Here is a 22,616-nt window from a genome sequence, read left to right as displayed (position 1 = left end):
TATGCACAAAGCTGCCCATTTTGTTATAAATAATTTTTGTCAAGTTCAAGCCTCTTGGTTGTCTTTGTCTGTCTCCTCTTTCCCATTCAAGTGGTACCTTCCGAGAATACACCACAGATTACCAAGCTATGTCTGCTTCCACCGGTGCCTTAAAAATATCCTTAAAAAGGAAATGTGATTTATTAAGATATCTGTCTTTCCCACAGTTCCTTCATTCATTTGTGCTATCTCCTTTCCATGTGAACCTGTGGGACCAGTCAGAATGCCTTGCTCTAGTTCATAGCTTGTATCTGCAAAGATGCCAGTCTGTTATTACTACACACGGACACAGTTGCATTTTGCTTTAGGGTTTCTTTAGAGTGTGCATACTCCAAACTCACTGTTTACTTCCAGATGACCGGCACAGGATACTTTTCCTCTTTTTTTTTTTTTTTTTTTTTTTTTTTTTTGAGATGGAGTCTCGCTCTGTCGTCCAGGCTGGAGTGCAGCGGCGTGATCTCAGCTCACTGCAAGCTCCGCCTCCTGGGTTCATGCCATTCTCCTGCCTCAGTCTCCCAAGTAGCTGGGACTACAGGCGCCTGCCACCACACCCAGCTAACTTTTTCTATTTTTAGTAGAGACAGGGTTTCACCGTGTTAGCCAGGATGATCTCAATCTCCTGACCTCGTGATCCGCCCACCTCGGCCTCCCAGAGTGCTGGGATTACAGGTGTGAGCCACCGCACCCAGCCTTTTGTTTTTTAAAGAGACAGAGTCTTACTCTGTCACCCAGGCTGGAGTGCAGTGGCACCACCATAGCTCACTGCAGCCTTGAACTCCTGGGCTCAAGCAATCCTTCAGATTGATTCTATTAACTGGGGTATTACAAATCTCTCTCCCAACCTCACCTCACATACACAGAGGCTGCATGCCCATACACACGCACTCATAATAGTCTCACAGTTTCCCCTGAAAATAATCTGACAAATGTCTTACGCAGCATTGGGACCATGCCGTTAGGTGTTGAGTTTGATTTTTTTCAATAGTGTCCCAACATATTCCTCATGTGCAGAGATGAGAGTGTAGCATGGCCAAATGCCAAATTTCCAAGAGACATTTTGTCTTCGTCCATTTGTGTGAACCATGGACTATAACAAACCACCTGAGACTAGGTCATTTATAAACAATAGAAATTTACCTCTCACAGCTCTGGAGGCAGGGAAGTCCAAGATGAAAGAGCCAGAAAGGTGAGTATCCGGTGAGGGCCAGGTCTCAGCTTCCAAGGCAGCCCCTCCTTGCTGTTTCCTCTTGAGGGGAGTGACACTGGGCCCTCACATGTCAGAAAGGGGAGGGGCAGAAAGGGTTCTAGCGTGTTCTCTCCAGCTGGCTCCTAAGATCACTAATCGTTCATGAGGTAGAGCTCTCATGACCTTACCACCTCCCAAAGGCCAAACCTTTGCAAGCTATTGCACTGAGGATTCAGTTTCAACATGACTTGTTTTTTGTTTTGTTTTGTTTTGAGACGGTCTTGCTCTCTTGCCCAAGCTGGAGTGCAGTGGCACCAACTTGGCTCACTGCAACCTCTGCCTCCTAGGTTCAAGCGATTCTCCTGCTTCAGCCTCCCAACTAGCTGGGATTACAGGCACGACCATGCTCAGCTAATTTTTATAGTTTTAGTAGAGACGGGGTTTCACCATGTTGGCCAGGCTAGTCTTGAACTCCTGACCTCAAGTGATCCTGCCGCCCCAGCCTACCAAAATGCTGGGATTTGTGCTTGGCCTCCCAGAGTGCTGGGATTTGTTGAGCCACTGCACCCAGCCTCAACATGACTTTTGGAGGGGGCACAAACACTCAAAGCATATTGGATGTCACAGTCACTCTCCCTATGTTCAAGGTAAGGTCATGTAGTCTGTGGCCCAGGTGTAGGCCATCAGGCCCCATGATTGCAAGGTTGACCCTGTGGCATGTTGGCAAGCAGCAATGCCAGGCCACGCTCAGGCACACTGGCAAGGGGTTTTGCATTGGGAGGGCAGGAGAGTTACAGAGATTACTTCCTCTGGTAATCTGGGGAGAACTGGTATCCTTTTCTCTTCTCATCAGCACCTGGACCATGGGCCACCATGCATGTGCATCTTGACACTCTTAGGGGTCAGGAAAGCATGTGTGGTGGCAGCAAGTGAAGGAGCAGCACAGGAAAGGGATGCAGGTACTACCCTTCCTGAATGCCTTGTTAGGCAACTGGAGTGCCACACTCACCTCCCTCAGTTGTCTCCTGCCTTTCCACAAACCTCACAATAGGCCATCTGCATGCCCAAGCCAGGGGTGTGCAGTAACAAACAATAGTCTGTAGGGATGTTCCATGCAGCCAGTGATGATAATCAGAGAGCTCCAGCCAGACCTTTGGAAAGTGGGGCTCAAATGCTGATCAGTTCGTCACTGTACAGTGACTGTCAAGTGCTGTACAGTGTGGTCACTACCTGTACAGGTGGGAGCCTCAGAGACCACCTGCCAAACAGGCTGAGCCCAAGTCAAGTCATGAAGGGATACAGCCAATGGGTGAGCACTCTTGTCCTGTGCACAACAGCATTTTAGAATGGGAAGAGATGCGACACTCACCTCCCCCAAGAAAAGTGCATTACAGCACAGGCCAAGTGCAAACCTGCCAGCAACTGGTGGTTCTGTCCAAGAAGCCTTTGCCATAATATGGAACCTGTCAGTTAGCTAAGAGCAGTTAGTTAAAATTGGACTGGATGACCCTGGCTTCGGATGGGCCATCCTGTTTATGCCAATGGTTGTAACTGCTTCCTTTTCACCCTGATGGTGAAGGAAGGATCCCCACCCCAATGCTATAGAAAGGTTGAACACTGAACGCCTGACACTGGACAGATAAGATCTAGGTGAGTTTGTCAGTCACACCAACTCTCAGAAAGGTGAGAAGGACACCACATGCTGGGAAGAGCCACACAGGGTTCGACTAGGGAGCAGAGTGGAAAAGGAGGGGTTGTGGCGAGCAGCTGTATTATCCAGAGTACAGTGACCACTGTTTGCTGTGGGAGGATGTGAGGGGTTTGGTGATAATTCCAAGAGCTGGCAGGGAAGCAAATCTTACTACTTAGGAATAAGCAGGAATTGTGCCTGGCCCCCCTGACAAGGAGGACTGTCTGCTAAGTTACCTCACCTGTGGAAGCAGAGTGGGGATGGAAATGAGGTTAGGTCATTTGAGGCCCTATTGGCTTCAGATGTCAAGAGAACCAAAAATACTAGTCCTTAATTTCAGGTCACAGTTACCATAATTTAAAATATATTAAGGATGTACAAAAGCAATTCAATTGTTCACTAATGATGATTTACATGTTCAGTCAGAAACATACAACTAACAAAAGAACACCTTAGTACAGAAACAAGATGTTCCTCAGGGTTGGTTGGTTGGTTATTTATTTACTTGATACACTTCATTTTTTAGAGTAGCTTTAGGGTTACAGAAAGTTGAGCAAAAAGTATAGAGAATTCTCATATAACCCTTTCCCCTCCCATCTTCCACAGGCTCCCCAATCATTAACATCTTGCATCATTATGGTTCATTTGTTACAATTAATGAGCCAACAGTGATACATTATTATTAACTGAAGTCCAGAGTTGACATTAGGGTTTACTCTGTGTTTTCCGTTCACTGTTTTCCATTCTCTGCGTTTTGACAAATTACAGTACCCTAGAGAGTACTTTCACTGCCTTAAAAATCACCTCTCTACCTGCCATCCCTCCTTTCCCCTCAACTCTCAGCAACCACTGGTCCTTTCACTGGCTCAATAGTTTTGCCTCTCCCAAAATGTCATATAATTGCAATCATACAAAATAGAAAGCCTTTTCAGATTGGTTTTCACTTAACAATAAGCATTTAGGGTTTCTCCGTGTCTTTTAATGACTTGATGTCCAATTCCTTTTTATCATCTACCTGAGGACTGTATCCTGCAATCCTGCTGTAATTGCTTATTAATGTCAGCAGGGTTTTTGTTATTTAGAATTCTCTACAAAGACAATCATGTTACTTGTGAACAAAGTTGTATTTCATCCTTTCAAATCTATGTGCATTTTATTTCTTTTTTTTTTAACACTGCATTATATAGCACTTCCAGTACAATGCTGAAAAGCAGTGGTGTGGTGTTCCTTGCCATGTTCCTGATCTTAGTAGGAAAGTGTCTAGTTGGAAACATCAAGGATAATGTTAGCTGTAGGGTTTTTTGTAGTATGTTCTTTACCAACTTGAGTAAGTTCTCCTGTATTCCTTCTGTGTTGAGAGGTTTTAACATGAATGGATATTGGATTTTGTCAAATGCTTTTTCTGTACCTATTGATATGATCGTATTTCATCTTTGAGCTGCTAATGCATGCAATGGATTACACTGAATATCAAATGTTGAACAAGCCTTGCATTCCTGATTTGCTAATATTTTGAGGATTTCTGCATCTGTGTTCAATGGAAATATTGATCTGTAGTTTTCCTTTCTTGTAATATCTTTGCCTGGTTTTGCTATTAGGGTAATACTGGCCTCACAAAATGAGTTGGGAAGTGTTATCTCTGCTTTTATTTTCTGAAAGAGATGGTAGAGACTTGGTATCATTTCTACCTTAAGTATCTCAAAAACACATCAGTGAACCCAGCTGGTCCTGGCACTTTGTTTTGGAAAGTTTCATTATTATTTTTTGAGATGCAGTCTCATTCTGTCACCCAGGCTGCAGTACAGTGGCACAATCTCAGCTCACTGCAACATCCACCTCCCAGGTTCAAGTGATTCTTCTGCCTCAGCCTCCTGAGTAGCTTCGACTACACACGCATGCCACCATGCCCAGCTAATTTTTTGTATTTTTAGTAGATAGGGGGTTTCACCATGTTGACCAGGCTGGTCTCGAACTCCTGACCTTGTGATCCACCCGCCTCAGCCTCCCAAAGTGAAGTGCTGGGATTACAGGCATGAACCACTGTACCTGGCCTTGGAAGGTTATTAATTACTGCTTTGGTTTATTTAATAGATACATATGCCTATTGAGGTCTATCTTGTGTGAGCTTTGAGAGAATGCGTCTTGCAAGGAATTGGTCCATTTTAGCTAAGTTATCAAATTTATGGACAGAGTTGTCCATGTTTCTTTCTAATCCTTTTGGTGACCATAGGATTAGCTGTGATGGCCTCTTTCATTTTTGGTATTAGCAATATTTGTCTTCTGTTTGTTCTTAAGCTAGCTAGAGGTTTATCAATTTTACTGACCTTTTCAAGGAACCAGTTTTGGGTTTTATCGATTTTCTCTTTTCAATTTCAATGATTTTTACTCTAATGTTTTTTCAGGTTACTTTGGATTTAATTTGCTCTTCTTTTTCTAGTTTCCTAAAGTGGAAGCTTAGATTACTTGTGTAATCTAGGATCACTAGACTGTATAATCTTAGATTATTTGTATGATCTGATCATGTAATATAGTGTACAATCTTCACACTATCAATAAAAGCCCCACACCAGCTTGATTCTGGTTCTGCTCCAGCCTCAACCCTCCTCTTCATATTCTCAAAAGTCTGAGGGCCCAGATCCCTGTCTGGGGACAATGAGCCTTGAAATGACAGTCCAACAGCCCTGGGCAGCCCTGGGCTGTATGTGTGGGCCTTTCCAGGGCCCTGTCTTGGAGAGCAGCTGCTTAAAGAAAATTTGGACTACCACTTATGCTGAAGGCTGGAATGTTCACATATGTACCCTAGGCACTTCATGGCATGGCATGAGCCACAGGTAGGAAGAGAAAGGGAGTAACATGGAGGCGAGCCTAGATCTTCACATGTACAGGATAGATTTTTTTTAGATAATTTGTTATTTTGATTTATACCTTTTAAATGGATAAACATTAGCTCTGTGGGTCTCCTTTTAAATTGTTTCAGGACATCACAAACATCTGGGATGGGCCTGATAATGTAACCACTACTAAACTAGGATACCTACTTCCTATTCACAATTACGTTAAATTCCATTATGCATATGAAACACACGATTTATATCACATACCACTTATACATATATAAGTCTTTTGAACTTCAGGGATAATTCGCAGATGTGCTTAATGCTATTGCCCTGATTATTCAATTTATCTGTGCTTTAAAAAAACTTCATAGTCAAGTGGATGCAAGGGATAGGGTTGCAGAAAGCGTGTGGTTATTAATACAAAAAGGGAACTACTTGAGGCTAAATCCTTTGTAATCCTGATACAGTACAGATCTCAGATTCCTTTTCAGTTCTGTAAACTAATCGTGTTGATGGTTACTCAAATGTAAAAGTCGTAAAAGTTTGATATAACCACACACACACACATACACGTACACACACACACAGAGTGCATGCAAACCATAGTAAAATCTGACTAAGTCTCTATCTACCAGCAAGGTAACATCGATTTCTTGGACTTGACCATATACTATGATTATACATTATCCTTAGAGGAAGTTTGGTGAAGTGTACATGGGAATTCTCTCTACTCATTAAACTTCTTGTGAGGTTATTTTAATTATTACCTTTGTTTAAGTTCTTAAAGCTTTACATTCCACAATATACATCTATAAATTATTGTTAGGTGCCCTAAAAACTATTATGGCATCAAACTCAAAACATAACTTGTCGTATTTTATTTCTAAGCAAAATTTTCACTTTAGATTTCTTAAATTGACAATTTTCTCCTCAGTGTAAATTCTAACATAACCTTATTTGCATTTTTGCCAAAAACTTTCACAAATTCAAAAAAAATCTGTAAGGTGTTATGCCCGTATTAACCATCTGATATTACATAGAATATCACTTCCTAACAAAAGCTGTCCTATAATTGTTGTAGTCTATGGGTTTATCCCCTACTATTACTTTGGAGTAACATAAGGTGAGTTTGTGGATAGTTACTGAACATTCAGGATGTCATCAGGGCTTTCTCCACAGTGTGAATACTCTGAGGCATTATGGAGGCTGACTTGTGGCTGGAAATTTCTAATATCCATTTCATTCATAAGGTTTTCTCCTATATGTCTTCTCTGATGTACAATGAGATTTGACTTTTGAGAGAAAGTTTTCCTGCATGTGTTACATTCATAGGGCTTTTCCCCTGTATGTGATCTCTGATGTTGAGCAAGTTCCGATTTACGGTAAAAGATTTTTCCACATTCATTACATTGACAAGATTTCTCTCCTGTGTGAGCCCTGTGATGTACTGTGAGTGATGATTTGTGCCTGAAGAATTTCCCACATTCATTGCATTCATAGGGTTTCTCCCCCGTGTGCTTTCTCTCATGGAAAATAAGTCCTGATTTTACACAGAAAGATTTTCCACATTCATTACATTTATAGGGCTTTTCTTGTGTATGGGTTCTCTGATGTACAATTAGAGCTGACTTATGGCAGAAAGCTTTTCCACACTCATTACATTTATAGGGTTTCTCCCCTATGTGAATTCTCTGATGCTGAGTGAGTTGTGACTTCTGGTAGAAGGCTTTTCCACATTCATTACATTCATAGGGTTTCTCCCCTGTATGTGTTCTATTATGTTTAGTTAGGTATGATTTATTGTAAAAGATTTTTCCACATTCATGACATTCGTAGGGTTTCTCCCCTGTGTGTGTTCTATAATGTTGAGAGAGGGTTGACTTATGGCTAAAGAATTTCCCACATTCGGGACATGCAAAGGGTTTCTGCCCTGTGTGTGTTCTCTGATGTACTGTGAGGTCTGACTTCAAGCAGAAGGTTTTCCCACATTCATAACATTCATAAGGTTTCCACCCTGTATGAATTATCTGATGCCTGGTGAGTAATGACTTGTGGTAGAAAGTTTTCCCACATGCATTACATTCATAAGATTTATCTCCTATGTGAATTCTCTGATGCTGTGTAAGATTTGACTTTTCACTAAAGGATTTCCCACACTCAAGACATTCAAAAGGTTTCTCACCTGTGTGAGTTCTCTGGTGTACTTTAAGGTGCGAAGTCACACGGAAGGATTTTCCACATTCATAACATTCATAGGGTTTCAGCCCTGTGTGTGTTCTCTGATGTTTAGTGAGGTCAGATTTCTGGCAAAAAGTTTTCCCACACGCATTACATTGATAGGGTTTCTCCCCTGTATGTGTTCTCTGGTGTAATGTGAGGGCTGACTTATGGCTAAAGGCTTTCCCACATTCATTGCATTCAAAAGGTTTCTCCCCTGTGTGTGATCTTTGATGTTTAGTGAGGTTTGACTTATCCCAGAAAGCTTTTTCACATTCATTACATTGAAAGGGTTTCTGTCCTGTGTGCACCCTCTGATGTCGAGTGAGATGTGACTTCTCCCAGAAAGCTTTCCCACATTCATTACATTCAAAGTGTTTCTCTCCTTTATCACCTTTCTGAAGGTGTGACAGACACAATTTCCTCCTGAAATTATTCCCACTTTCACCACAATCATAGTGTTTCATAGATACCCCATGAGGTTTAGAAAGGGTGGACTTCACACATAAGAACTTCTCACAATCACTAAATTCATAGTGATTGTCCCTTGACGGAGATATCTGATGGAACAAGAGGGATGAACTATCACACAAAGTTCTCCCAAATTCATTATAATCACAGTTATTCTCTTCTGCGTTCTCTCTCTTCTGTGTATTGAATACTGCCTTTTCAAGGAGGGTTTCCTGACATATACTGTATTCAAAATTGTGCTCTAAAGTTTGAATCTTCTCATGCTGCAAAGTCTCCTCATGATGACTCAGTGTGTTCCTATTTTTCAAAACTTCATTTTTCTCTTGAGTATGAGTTTCATCATGCTTAATATTGAGTAACAATTTCCCACAGGCATTAAATTCATCAGACTTTTTTCCTAAATAGTTTATCTTACTGATAACCAATTCTGAAACAGTGTTGAAACTCATTCCACATGAATCACACTGACAGAACATTTTTCTGGAAGGAAAAGAACTTACATCCACATTAAATGGTATTCCTATTACATCACCTTGTTCCTTAGTCAGCATTTCATTATTGATGAATACAACTTCCCACAAATGTTTAGATTGGTTTTCTTGGCTCCTCTCTTTCAGGTGATCAGCTGTCCAGACTTCTAGAAACAAGCAAAATTAATCTTACCACATAAATACCAAAACATTTCTTAGGGAATGAAATCGCTAAACAAATGCCCCATGTTGCAGCTGACTGGTTTTTTGGCCAGTTTCCAGAGATGAACATAATTGCAAGTGCATATTTTTTGTATTTCATGGGTTTGGGGTCAAAAAACAAAAACAAAAACCAGAAACAAAAGTCCTAGGCTAGTGGAAAAACAGAGAGGAATTTAACTATTGAAGGCACACATTTGGTTTCTAGTGTAAGAAGAATAATAGCAGCTGCTTACATCTGCGTTTCCCCATGCATCCTCCCAAGAATTATAAAGGTCACCATAAGTGGAGCAAATAACACTATCTAAACAATCCATGACTTTAACATAACTAGGAGATGGAGAATATTACTAATTTCAAATCACCACTAAGCAACAGATACTCAAATACAGAAAAAAGTGACAGCCCATGCCTACAAAGAGAGTCAGCCAGAGACTGTGGTGATTACATGGAATAGAGGAGACACACAGCCCAGAGAGGATGAAACACAAAACTACTCCCAGAAAGGGAAAGTTTCACTATGAGTGGGAAAATACTCAGAAGATGTCTGAGTTCACGTAGATTAAAGCTCAGGTTAGTGGGAAATCCAAGAGAAGAGACTTGGACTGTATGCAAACTAAAGAGGCAAAGGGTAATCAAACTCAGGAATGAAGTTGTAAAGAGGGCAGAGTAATCACAGAAAATAAGACTTGTAATTCAAGTCTTATTAAGACTTATTAAAGACATTCCTTATTAAGGAATCTGTTATGGACTAAACTGTGCCCCCCAAAAATGTGTATGTTAAAACCCCAACCTCCAGTGTGACTGTATTTGAAGATGGGGACTTTAAGGAGATTAACTAAGGTTAAATGAGGTCATAAGGGTAAGACACAAATACAATGGCATTGGTGTCCTTATAAGAAGAAGAGGATACTGGAAAGCACATGCATGAGCTCTCTTTCTCCCCCAACCCACCACCCCCAACCACTGGTCATATGCACAGAGAAAAGGCTGTGTGAGGACACCAGAAGAAAATGCCATCTGCAAGCCAAGGAGTGAGACCTAACCAGAAACCAACCCTGCTGGCACCTTGACTTTAGACTTCCAGCCTCCACAATTGTGAGAAAATTTATTTAAGCTACCCAGTCTGTTGAATTTTGTTACAGCAGCCTGAGTCAACTAATACAGAGCCAAAGGGGAAACTACACTTGACTGAAACTTGAATAAACAGCATTGCAAAGGAGAATGAAACAAGAAAAAGAAGAAGCAATAATTTTAAAAGAGTAAGAAAAAAGAAAATTGGATCAGAAAGAAAGTTCTGGATAAAGATGGTCTACAATTAAATAAATAAATAAAATTATAATATAGTATATATGTTATTGCAGTCCTTAAAGAAGAAAAAACAACAGAATAAATCTAATATTAAAAAGTATAATCTAAGAAAACTGTCCAAAAATAAAAGACCTGATCCACATATTCAAAGGAACCATCATGAACCTGGGAAAAATGTTCAGCAACAGTTTTCTCCAAAACATAGCTTAATAAAACTACTAGATGTGAAAATTGAAGAAAAAGTACTCTGGACAAAAAGACCAAGTCTCAGCAAACTTTTACTTTGAGTCTTGAAATCAGGTAATCCTATCCATACAACTCAGCTTTTATTTTTCAAAGTTTTAGTTACTCTAGAAGTAGAGTAACTAAAGTAGACAAGTTTCCTGTCTACTTCCACATAAAGTTTAGAATTACGTACTCAATTACTACAAGAAATCCTGCTAATTACTACATGGAATTATATTATTTTGAATCTATAAGTCATGTTAACAACAAAACATGTTAGCAATATTGAGCTTTCTGACATAAGCAGGGAGTTCCACTTGTTTAGGTCTTCAATTTCTCTCTGCAGTGGGTTATTGTTTCTAGTGTGGTCTTTCACATCTTTTGCCAGACATAGCTGCAAAAAAAATATTTTTGATACTATTGCAAATGGAACTTTTAAAAATTTCAAGTTCCAATTGATCATTGCTAATATATAGAAGTAAAATTCATTTTTACATATTTTTCTCCTGCCACCTAGCTACACTTAATAATTATAGTCATTATTTTTCCCATTCTTTTTCTTGGGTGACTCCATTAGATTTCCTACATAGATAATATTATCTTTTGTGAATAAAGACATTTCTACTTCTTTTCTATTCTAATCTCCTTTCTTTTTCTTCCCTGGTTATACTAAGTAGTATATATTACACTATCAAGTATGGGTGGACATCCTTGTCATGTTCCTGATATTGGAAAGAAATCATTCCGTTGTTCACAATTATATACAATGTCAATTGTACATTTTCTATAGATGACTTTTATCAGATTAAAGAAAGTTATCTTCTATTCTTCATTTGAGAGTTTTAATCAGAAATGGATGCTAAATTTTGTCAAATGCCTTGTCTGCATATATTGAAATGGTCATATGGATTTGACTTTTTTTCTGTTTTTTTCTTTTTAATACAGGGCAGAGATGACTACATAATTGATGGGGCCAGTGCAAAATAAAAATGTGAGGCAGTTACTCAGAATGTATAAAAAGAAGTATAGTAAAAGGTAAAATAAATTATGCTTTTTTCTTTTAATATATTTTATTACTTGTAAAATGTAATAGGTATAATCGTAATATATAATAACAAATTTACAAATCACAAAAAAAGTTTTGTTGCAATAACTTTAAATGATACAATAATTACTAATAGTTTTTAATATGATATCTTGATTGATCATAAGATTTTCTGGCCCTCTTTTTGCAAATTCATTTAAGTCATCAAAATTTATATTTTTAGCAACTTTATTTTCAATATATAATTGAAAGTAACATGTATTCTTGGCAAATGCATGGTAAGTAATTTTTGCTCATTTTTAATTTTGAGAAGGTTGATTTTTCAGCTGATGCGATCATTAGGAACCTGTTGGTTCTTTATACGTTGTGACAATATGGGTTAAATTTCTGATTTCTGATACATTGTTGCACAATAAAAGTTAAAAAAATACAAGTTTCGGTATATATAAAGACTGGAGTAGCAGTACTCTGAAATTAATTCTTCGTGAATATTAGTTTTGTACAAAGCAGAATTCAATTTTACATGTAAATTTATACAATGGCATTTTAATGTTTCCTCTGACATTTCCTACATCTTGTACAAGAAACCAAAAATGGCTTCATGATTTGCATATATAACTGGAAACACCTGTTTATGCAGTGTATTGCTGTATTTTCAAATGTAAAAAAAAAACTATTTTTAAAATTGACTTCTTTGTTAATACTTGATTCATCCAAAATTTTATATGAAAATCATGTTCTCTCCCATCAAATGAAATTCCTATTTCTAAGCCTGTGGATATTTGCTTTGCAATGTTGCAGCAGTTCTTAAGACCAGAGAATCTACACTCCAAAGAATTCTAGGAACTGCCTAGTGTGCCTTAACACAATGTCCACAAGTATGCTTTTATTTTCTAATACTTTACTGACAATGGTGACTGCCTGAAAGCTGGAAGTTACTGCCCCAGTATTCAGCCCAGAAAATTAGTATTTCCTAAGAATGTCAGAGGGACAGGCTCAGGGGAGAGACAAGCAAGCCAGCCTCACACTGTGGGTCCTCTCTGGGGTGCAACTGTTTGTGAGTTTGCTGCTGCTGCAACCAATGCAGACAAAGGTCATGGCCCTGGCTACCCACACACAATTCCAGGACACTCCCAGGCCATACTACACAGACCAACAGCTTAGTAGGGCAGTGCCTCTCAAGTATCCTGTCTACTTGCACACATAGTCCAGTGTCCATCAGACTTTACATACAAATCACAAGTTCAAAGATAAAACTGTGAAGAACTTCAAGATGGCAACAACAGGGCATTAAGCCAAGTACAGGATCCCTTCTTACAAGAGTGCAGCAACATGTGACTGCACAGGTCACCTAGCTATGAAGTTGGCCTAGACACAGGGAATTACACTGACTGCTTTTCAAATGTTGAAAAAGCCTGCCAGGGATTAACCACATTTGGTCATGAGGTATTAATAACCATGTTATACACCACTGGTTTCCAATCCCTAGAGTTTTTGAATTTATGTTCATGAAGGACACCGGTCTATAGCTTTCTTTCCTTGCAGTGTCTTTGTCTCGTTTTGTTATTAGGGCAATGCTGGACTCAAAGAATGATTTAGGAAGTATTCCCTCTTCTTGAATTTTCTGGAAAAGTCTGTATAGAAGTGGTACTATTAATTGTTTGCTGGAATTCACTACTGAAGCATCTGGGGACCTGGGGTTTTCTTTGTGGAAAGGTTATCTATTTGTTTTGAAGTAAGCAGTAGTAGCTGTTTATTTGAAGGAAACTGTTCATTTCATCAAAATCGTCAAATTGATAACTTACAGGTATAGTATTTCCTCACTTCCTCACAGAATCTTCAGTGATTCATCATTCTTATTTTTGATATTGATAATCTGTTCCACCTAGAAGTTTATCCATTTTATCGATCTTCTCAATGAAACAGCTTTTGGTTTCACTGATTTTCTAAACTGTTTTTCTGGTTCTACATATTATATTGTTCTCCATTTTGTTTTTTGTTATTTCCTTTCTTCTTCTACTATATGGATTTGTCTTCTTTTCTACATTCTCAAAGTGGAAGTAGCTAAGACCATTGATTTAGACCTTTCTTCTTATCCAACACAAGTTAAACTTCATACATGTGTATATTAGATATATACATATACATAAATACATACACATATGAAATTCCCTATATGTGAAATTTACACAATATACATTACACATAATACATTATATCCCATATAGGAGAAACTTCATATATGCATTTACATATGGTAGATATATACGCACATAATACAAACACACACAATGCATATTTGTGTTGCCTAAGAAAGATCTCAAATCAATGACCTCAGGTGCTTCCACCTTAAAAAGCTAGAAAAAAGCAAATTAGACCCAAAAGTAAGTAGAAAAAAGGAGTAAGGATCAAAATGGAAAACAATGAAATCAATGAGTATTATAGGTATTTTATATTTGCTATACCTAAATTTCCTATATGTAAATTTCCCATAAATTCTGTTTTCATTAACCCAAAGTTCAAAATACTTTCTAATTTCCCCTTTGAACTCTTCTTTGAAGAATCCATTATGTAGAAGTATATTCAGTTTCCAACTATTAGGGATTTTATAGATAGTTCTGTTATTGATTTTTAATTTAACTAAATTTAAACCCCTTATGGTGGGAGAAAATACTCTATATGACTTCAATCCTTTTACATTTATTAAGATTTGCTTTATAATCAAGAATGTGATTTACCTTTGTTAATATATTCATTCATCTGCCCTTGAAAAGAATGTATATTCCACTGTTTTATTTGGGGAGGAGGGTGCAGAAGATATTTTATAAATGTCAATTAAGTTATTTAGGGTTAAGTCTATTATATCTTTGCTCCTTTTCCTTTTCCTGTTTTATCAATTATTAAAAGGATGCTAAAACCTCTGATTATAACTGTGGATCTATTTCTCCTTCCAAGTCTATCAGATTTTGCTTCAAATATTTTGTAAATCCATTACTAACCTAAAGCTTAGGATTGTTAAATCCTCTCGATGAATGGATCTCTATCGATATGAAAAAAATCTTTATCACTGGTATTCCTGGCTCTGAAAGCTATTTCATCTGGCTGTCACATCACTGCAGCCTTGTGAATAATTTTACCATTCTATATCTTTTCCCATTCTTTTTGTTTATCTGTCTTTGAATCTAACATGTTTCCTTTGTAGGCAGCATGACTGGATCTTATTTTTATTTATCTTATCAAGAAATCTCTGTCTTTAAATGGGGTGTTTTAGACCATTTATATTTTCTGTGATCATCAATGTTTATAAAAGCTTTTGCAGTGTACTTTTCAGAAATAGTACATATATGGATCTTCCAATAGTATATACTTTACTTCTTTTTCACAGCCTTTTTAGGCTATGTTTGTCATATATTTTAAATGTTATAAAACCCACAATACATTTGATGTTATTTTTGTATAAAGACAATATACTTTTTAGAGATTTACATGAAGAAAAATATCTTGTATACATATCCAAGTAGTCAATATTTCCTGTCCTTCATCCCCCTAGGTAGATCCAGATTTCCATCAGACATCAGAACACCTCTTGTGGTGCAGGTCTGCTGGAGAGGAAATCTTTCAGCTTTGTTTAACTGGAATGTCCTTACTTCTTCACTGTTTCTTATAGCTATTTTTACTGAGTATATAACTCTACGTTGAGTTTTTTTGCTTTTAAAACTAAAAATAATGTTCTACTCTTTTCTCTGTTGCCTCATTTAAGGAGAAATCTGCTATCAACCTTTCCTTTGTTCCTCCATAAAACATGTCCTTTGTCTCTGACTGCTTTGAGGATTTCATTTTAACACTGATTTAGAGCATTCTGGTTATGACTCATGTGGCTTAGTGTAGTTTTCTTCATGCCTCTTGTGCTCAGGGTTTGATGAGCTTCTTAGATCAGTAAGTTCCCATCACATTTGGACATTTTTTCATCATCTCAAAATATTGTTTTCTGTTCTTTTCCCACTTTCCTTTTACAGACTCCAATTCCATGTGTGTTAGAGACTACTTGAAGTTCTCTTAAAGCTCACAGGGGCTTGCTTTTTTTTTTTTTTTTTTTTTTTTTTTTTTTTTTTTTTTTGAGACAGAGTCTTGCTCTATCGCCAGGCTGGAGTGCAGTGGTGCAATCTCGGCTCACTGCAACCTCCGCCTCCCATGTTCAATGATTCTCCTGCCTCAGCCTCCCGAGTAGCTGGGACTACAGGCGCCTGCCACCACGCACAGCTAATTTTGTACTTTTAGTAGAGATGGGGTTTCACCATGTTGGCCAACATAGTCTCGATCTCTTGACCTCGTGATCCACAGGCCTTGGCCTCCCAAAGTGCTGGGATTACAGGGGTGAGCCACCACACCCAGCCCAAGGGCTTGCTTATTTTTCACATATGTTTTTTCTCTGTTTCATTTGGATGGCTTCTATTACTATGCTAAGTTCAGTAATCTTTTTCTTCTGCAATGTTTAAACTGCCATTAGTTGTTGCCCTATGTGTTATTCTTTTTTTTTTTTTTTTTTTTTTTGGCAGGGGTGGGGGGAGACGGTCTCACTCCATCACCCAGGCTGCAGTGCAGAGGTGCAATCTTGGCTCACTGAAACATCACCTCTCAGGCTCAAGTGATCTTCCCACCTCAGCCTCCCAAGTAGCTAGGACCACAGGCATGCACCACCACACCCAGCTAATTTTTTTGCTGTTGCATTTTTGGTACAGACAAGGTTTCACCATGTTGCCCAGGCTGGTCTCAAACTCCTGAGCTCAGGAGATCCTTCCCTTGGCCTGCCAAAGTGCTGGGATTTATAGGCATGAGACAACAATGGCTGGCCATGTATTTCTCATGTCAAGCATTATAGTATTCATTTCTAGAAATCTGATTTCTATCTTTTCTGTTATACTGAATTTTGATTTTTTTTTTAAATCTTCCGTGTCTCTACTTAAGTTTTAGAACATATGGAATCCAATTATAATACTATTTTCAATGAACTTGTCAGTTAATTCTAATATCTATGGCAATTCTGAGTCCATTTCAATTTCCTGGTTAGTCTCTTTGAGAAAGCTCATGTTTTCCCACATGTCTGTAAGTCTGGTAATATTTCAATGGACAGAAGACTGAGAGTTTTACTTGGTTGGATGTTGGGTCCTTTTGGCTTCCTATAAGTATTTTTGTGCTTTTTTCTAGGATGCACTTAAGTCACTTGGAAACAATGTGACACTTTCAGGTCTTGCTTTTATGATTTCTTAGGCAAATCTGGAGCAGTGCTCAGTTTGGGGCACATTACTCCTCACCACGGAGAAAAGACCTTTCTGAACACTCTACCCAATACTCTGAATTACGAGTTTTTCCACTCTGGCTGGCAGGATCAGTCCTTTTCCAGGCCCTATGTGAGTATTGTGTACTGTTCCCTTTGATTCTTTTCAAAAGTTATTTCACTCATTTCCTCATATACATGAGCCGATTAGTACTTTGCTGAACATTCATGGAGGCCCCTTTACAGATCTCCAGACCTCTCTCTGTGTGCATCTATCTCCTGCAAGCCACCAGTGCTCCTCAACCCCTACAGCTTCAAATTCTAGAAAAGAACTGCCAAAAGGCCTTGAGCCAGCTTCCTCCACCACCCCAATTAAAATATCCAGCCCAGTCATGGCAGTCTGAGAATAGCGGAGTACAATGCCCACCTAGGTCATTGAGAAGAGATTCCAAAAGAAACCAAGAAGACCAGAGACTACTGCCCCAACCCAGATCCCTGATCATAAAGCACAGTATCACTCACCCAGAGAAAAGCAAAACACTGCTGTAGCCTCTAGATCCTGAATAATGGAGCAGGACTCTCACCTAGGGCCAGCTGTAAGGACAGAGAGTTCCCAAACTCTCCTCCAGAAAACTCACTTTGTTCAGAGCAGAGTGTGGGTGAGTGCAAGCCTAAGGTCACCCTCAAAAAGAATGGAAATTCAATGATAACCAATTAAGAAGAGGGTGGCAGTTCTATGACAGCAACAAGCTAAACCACAGACCAACTGAAAGTTTACTGGAGAGAGCAAGGGAAAGAGATGGCTAAGAAGAGACATCCAGGGCAATTAGATGTGTTCCTATCTACCAGAAACACTCATACAAACACATACACAGATTTTCTACAGTAATGATTTTTAAATTTATGTTTTCTAGGAGGTGACTTTCAGAATGGCAACATAAAAAGCAAACTCAAAGCCTCAAAGACAACCCTCTAGAAGGAACCCAAATTTAACAAGAGCAAACTAAGAGCAACATATGGTCCAGGACAGTGTTGAAAACAATAGAGCAATACGTCAGCAATCAGTAGCGGCTATCAGCAAAGTATAACAGCAACAGAGGCAGACAGGCTAACACAGCAATCACAGAAAGAGACACTCAGAGAGCACTGTTAACACCACTGCCATCCCAAAGATAGTGTGCATTTCCAAGGAGGAGCCCTCTGATAAGCAACATCAGTGAGAACCCAATGGGAGTGAAAAAGCTTCTCTCAAATAGTACAGTCAAGTCACCTAAATAAATAACAACAAGCCCTAGAGAGAATAGAGGAACCAGTATCTAGAGGAAGCACAAAGTATTCTCTAAAATGTCTATACTTCAACAAAAAAATTACAAGACATACAAAGAAACAGGACACTGTCACCTACATACAGGAAAAACGACAGGCAACAGCAACTGCCCTTGAGAAGACCCAGCTATCAGACTTAGCTGACCTCAAAGCAGCTATTATAAATATGTTCGGGCCAGACACGGTGGCTCACGCCTGTAATCCCAGTACTTTGGGAGGTCGAGGCAGGTGGGTCACCTGAGGTCAGGAGTTCAAGATCAACCTGGTCAACATGGTGAAACCCCGTCTCTACTAAAAACACAAAAATTAGCTGGGCATGGTGGCAGGCACTTGTAATCCCAGCTACTCTGGAGGCTGAAGCAAGAGAATGACTTGAACCTGGGAGGCGGAGGTTGCAGTGAGCTGAGATCATGCCTCTGAACTCCAGCCTGGGTGACAGAGCGAGACTGTCAAAATAAAAAATAAAAATAAATATGTTCATAAGGAAACACTACTTAGAAAAGGGAGTATGATGATGCCTCATCAAACAGAAAATATCAATAAGAAGACAGAAAAGAATACAATGAAAATTCTGGATTCAAAAATTATAACTGCAATGGAAAACTCACTAGAATGACTCAACAAAAGATTGGGCCAGGCAGGGTGGCTCATGCCTGAAATCCCAGCACTTTGGGAGGCCAAGGCAGGTGAATCACCTGCGGTCAGGAGTTCAAGACCAGACTGACCAATGTGGTGAAACCCCGTCTCTACTAAAAACAGAAAAATTAGCTGAGTGTGGTAGCACACGCACCTGTAATCCCAGCTACTCTGGAGGCTGAGGCAAGAGAATTGCATGAACCCGGGAGGCAGAGGTTGCAGTGAGCTGAGATAGTGCCATTGCACTCCAGCCTGGGCAACAAGAGAGAAACTCCATCTCAAAAAAAAAAAAAAAAGAAAGAAAAGAAAAGAAAGGTTGTAGCTGGCAAAATAATCAGTAAACTTAAAGATGGATCAATAGAGATTAAGTAATCTAAAGAACAGAGAGAAATAAGAGTGATGAAAAATGAAGAAATGCTCAAAAAAATGAGGAACACCATTAACTACACCAATATATTCATAACAGAAGTACCAGAAGGAGTGGAGAAATATCAAGTAGCAGAAAAAATATTCAAACAAATGAATGGCTATGCTCACCTTGCAACACATATACTAAAACTGGAACAATACCAAGATTAGCACAGCAGCTACACAAGAATGACACACAAGTTCATGAAGTGTTGCATTAAACAAAAAAAAAAAAAAAGAGGCCAAAAACTTGCACATCTGTTGACGAAGAGAAAATCTTGAAAGCATCAAGAGAAATACAACTTCTCACATGAAGGGAATGTCCTAAGATTAACATATGGCTTCTCATCAGAGACTACGTAGAGGCCAGAAGGAGGCAGGATGACATATTCAGTGACTGAAAAAAAAATTTTTTTTTTTGCAATGAAATACCTTTTATTCATACAGGAAATTATTTCTTTGATCTTCACCACAATACTGGTGGAGTTGTTGGGGGGAGGTGGGGAAAATATTGTGTTCCCAGTTGTCAAATAAAGAAGCTAAGACTTACAGAATTTGACCTGGGGTCACACAGCTATTTTTTTTTTAATTTTATTATTATTATACTTTAAGTTTTAGGGTACATGTGCACAACGTGCAGGTTTGTTATATATGTATACATGTGCCATGTTGGTGTGCTGCACCCATTAACTCGTCATTTAGCATTAGGTATATCTCCTAATGCTATCCCTCCCCCCTCCCCCTACCCCACAACAGTCCCTGGTGTGTGATGTTTCCCTTCCTGTGTCCATGTGTTCTTATTGTTCAGTTCCCACCTGTGAGTGAGAACATGCTGTGTTTGGTTTTTTGTATTGTGACAGTTTGCTGAGAATGATGGTTTCCAGCTTTTTTAATAACCTGTCACCTAAAATAGCAGAACTATTTGCAAAACAGAGGGTGAAAATTTAAAATCCTCAAATTAAAAAACAAATAGAAACCAAAAAAACTTGAGAATCCATTGCAAGTACACTAACCATAAAAGAAAGAAAAGAAGTTCTTTAGGGTGAAAACAAGTGATTTCAAACACTAGTTCAAATCCACAATTATTGTGGGTAAAGGCAATGATACGAGAGAGTAAAAAAGGCACATTTTTTCTCCTTTCTTTTCCTACCCAATTTAATAAGCAAATATGTATAAGTCAATGTTTATAACTGTATTGTTGGACCTATAACATATAAAAATGCAATGTATTTAACAATAAGACAGGCCAGGCACAGTGGCTCATGCCAGTAATCCCAACACTTTGGGAGGCTGAAGCAGGAGAATCACTTAAGCCCAGGATTTCAAGATCAGCTTAGGCAACATATTGAGACACCATCTCTAAAAAATAATTTGTTTAATAAGCTGGGCACAGTGGTGCACACCTATAGTCTCAGCTATTCAGGAGGCTGAGGTGGGAGTATTGTTTGAGCCCAGGAAGTTGAGGCTGCAATGAGATGGGATCCTACCACGGCACTCCAGCCTCGATGACTCAGAGAGACCTTGTTTCAAAAAAAAAATAAATAAATACATTGATAAACAAGGAAACAAATAACAAAGCAAAAAAAAAAAAAAGAATAAAGCAAAAAAATAGAGTGGCTGGGTGTGGTGGCTCACGCCTGTAATCCCAGCACTTTGGGAGGCCAAGGCAGGCAGATCACCTGTGGTCAGGAGTTCAAGACCAGCCTGGTTAACATGGCAAAACCCCATCTCTACTAAAAACACAAAAATTAGCTGTGGTGGCACATGCCTGTAATCCCAGCTACTCGGGAGGCTGAGACAGGAGAATCGCTTGAACCCAGGAGGCAGGAGGTTACAGTGAGCCCAGATGGTGCCACTGCACTCCAGCCTGGGCAACAAAGTGAGACTCCCAGGGGAAAAAAAAAAAAGACAGAGGAACAAATCTGTGCCAGAGTAAGGAAATTACACTAGATGGTAACTCTGAATCCACACAAACAAATGAATTGAAGCAGAAATGATGAATAAGAAGGTTAGTATAACAAACTCTACGAATAGATACTTCCTATCTTTCTTTCAGCTTCTTTAAAAGACATCAACACATGAACACAGGGAGGGGAACAACACACACTGGGGCCTGTTGAGGTGTGGGGGCAAGGGGAGGAAACTTAAGAAGATGGGTCAACCACCATGGAACACATATACCTATGTAACAAACCTCCACATTCTGCACATGTATCACAGAACTTAAAGTAAAAAAACAACAACAACAACAACAAAAAGCCATCAAATGACATAAAGTAACAATTACAGGTTGAGTATCCCTTATCTGAAATGCTTGGCATCAAAAGTGTTTCTCACTTTAGATTTTTTCCAAATTTTGGAATGTTTACATTATACTTACTGGTTGAGCTTCCCAAATCCAGAAATCTAAAATCTGAAATGCTCCAACAAGCATTTCCTTCTAGCATGTTGAGCATGTTGGCACTCAGTTTCAGATTTGGGAGCATTTGAGATTTTCGGATTTGGGATGCTCAGCCTGCATACAATGTATTGTTGGGTTTTAAATATATATGTAATATATATAAAAATAACAAATAGAGAAGAGAAAATAGAGATACATATAAGTAATGTTTCTGTATTTTACTAAAGTTAAGGAAGCAGAAATCTGAAGTAGATTTTGATAAGGCAAGACTTATTAGGTAAGTTCTAGAGCAACCACTAGGTAAATAAATTTTCAAAGAGACATCATAATTTTAAAAATTAAAATGTTATACTAAAATATATTAATTTCATGTTGTATACACATAATCATAGAGAGTGGAATGAGAGACACTGGACACTTGGAGGGGTGGGGAGGAGGGTGAAGGATAAGAAATTACTTGATGGGTGCTATTCTGCTGATGGCCACACTAAAAGCCCAGACCTCACCTCTATGTGCTATGTCTGGGTAACAAAACTGCACTTGTACCCTCGAAACCTATAAAAATAATAAAATAAAATATATTCATGTCATGTAAAAGAAAGCAAAAGTAAAAGGAATAGAGTACCAAAAAAGCAGGAGACCGAAAACAAAAATGGCAGAGGTAAAACCAACTACAGATGCTCCTTGACTTACGATCAAGTTACATCCTGATAATAGTCAAATTAGTTGAAAATATTGTTTTTCCACTTAAAATGGAAATACATTCTAGTAAGGACAGAAAAAATACTAAGTTGAACCTCTGTAAATCCTAAACATACAAAGGGGTTTCAACCCAATAAACCTATTGAAAAGTTAAAAAA

The 22,616-nt window shown here is 38.7% G+C and overlaps 1 protein-coding gene and 1 pseudogene across 21 annotated transcripts in view; one reads left to right on the top strand and one right to left on the bottom strand.

The window, feature by feature from the left end:
• The window catches only part of ZNF33A (zinc finger protein 33A), a 57,346-nt gene that overhangs the window by 4,383 nt on the left and 30,347 nt on the right, over window positions 1–22,616 (bottom strand). For 10 of the 21 annotated variants that reach the window (XM_011519650.3, XM_017016617.2, NM_001324177.2 and 7 more), the window contains one exon: window positions 3,365–9,077. The exons of 1 other annotated variant lie outside the window; for it this stretch is intronic. In XM_011519650.3, the coding sequence (XP_011517952.1) occupies window positions 6,892–9,077 (2,186 nt within the window). In that variant the 3' untranslated portion in view covers window positions 3,365–6,891. Of the gene's footprint in view, window positions 1–3,364; window positions 9,078–22,616 lie in introns of those variants that run through there. 10 more of the 21 variants (XM_011519651.3, NM_001324176.2, NM_001278179.2 and 7 more) reach the window with 3 other exon arrangements.
• Window positions 19,477–19,579, top strand: RNU6-795P (RNA, U6 small nuclear 795, pseudogene; annotated as a pseudogene).

Source organism: Homo sapiens, chromosome 10 (assembly GCF_000001405.40).
Source record: "Homo sapiens chromosome 10, GRCh38.p14 Primary Assembly".
Classification (NCBI taxonomy): Eukaryota; Metazoa; Chordata; class Mammalia; order Primates; family Hominidae; genus Homo; species Homo sapiens.
This window is presented reverse-complemented; position numbering and strand designations above follow the sequence as displayed.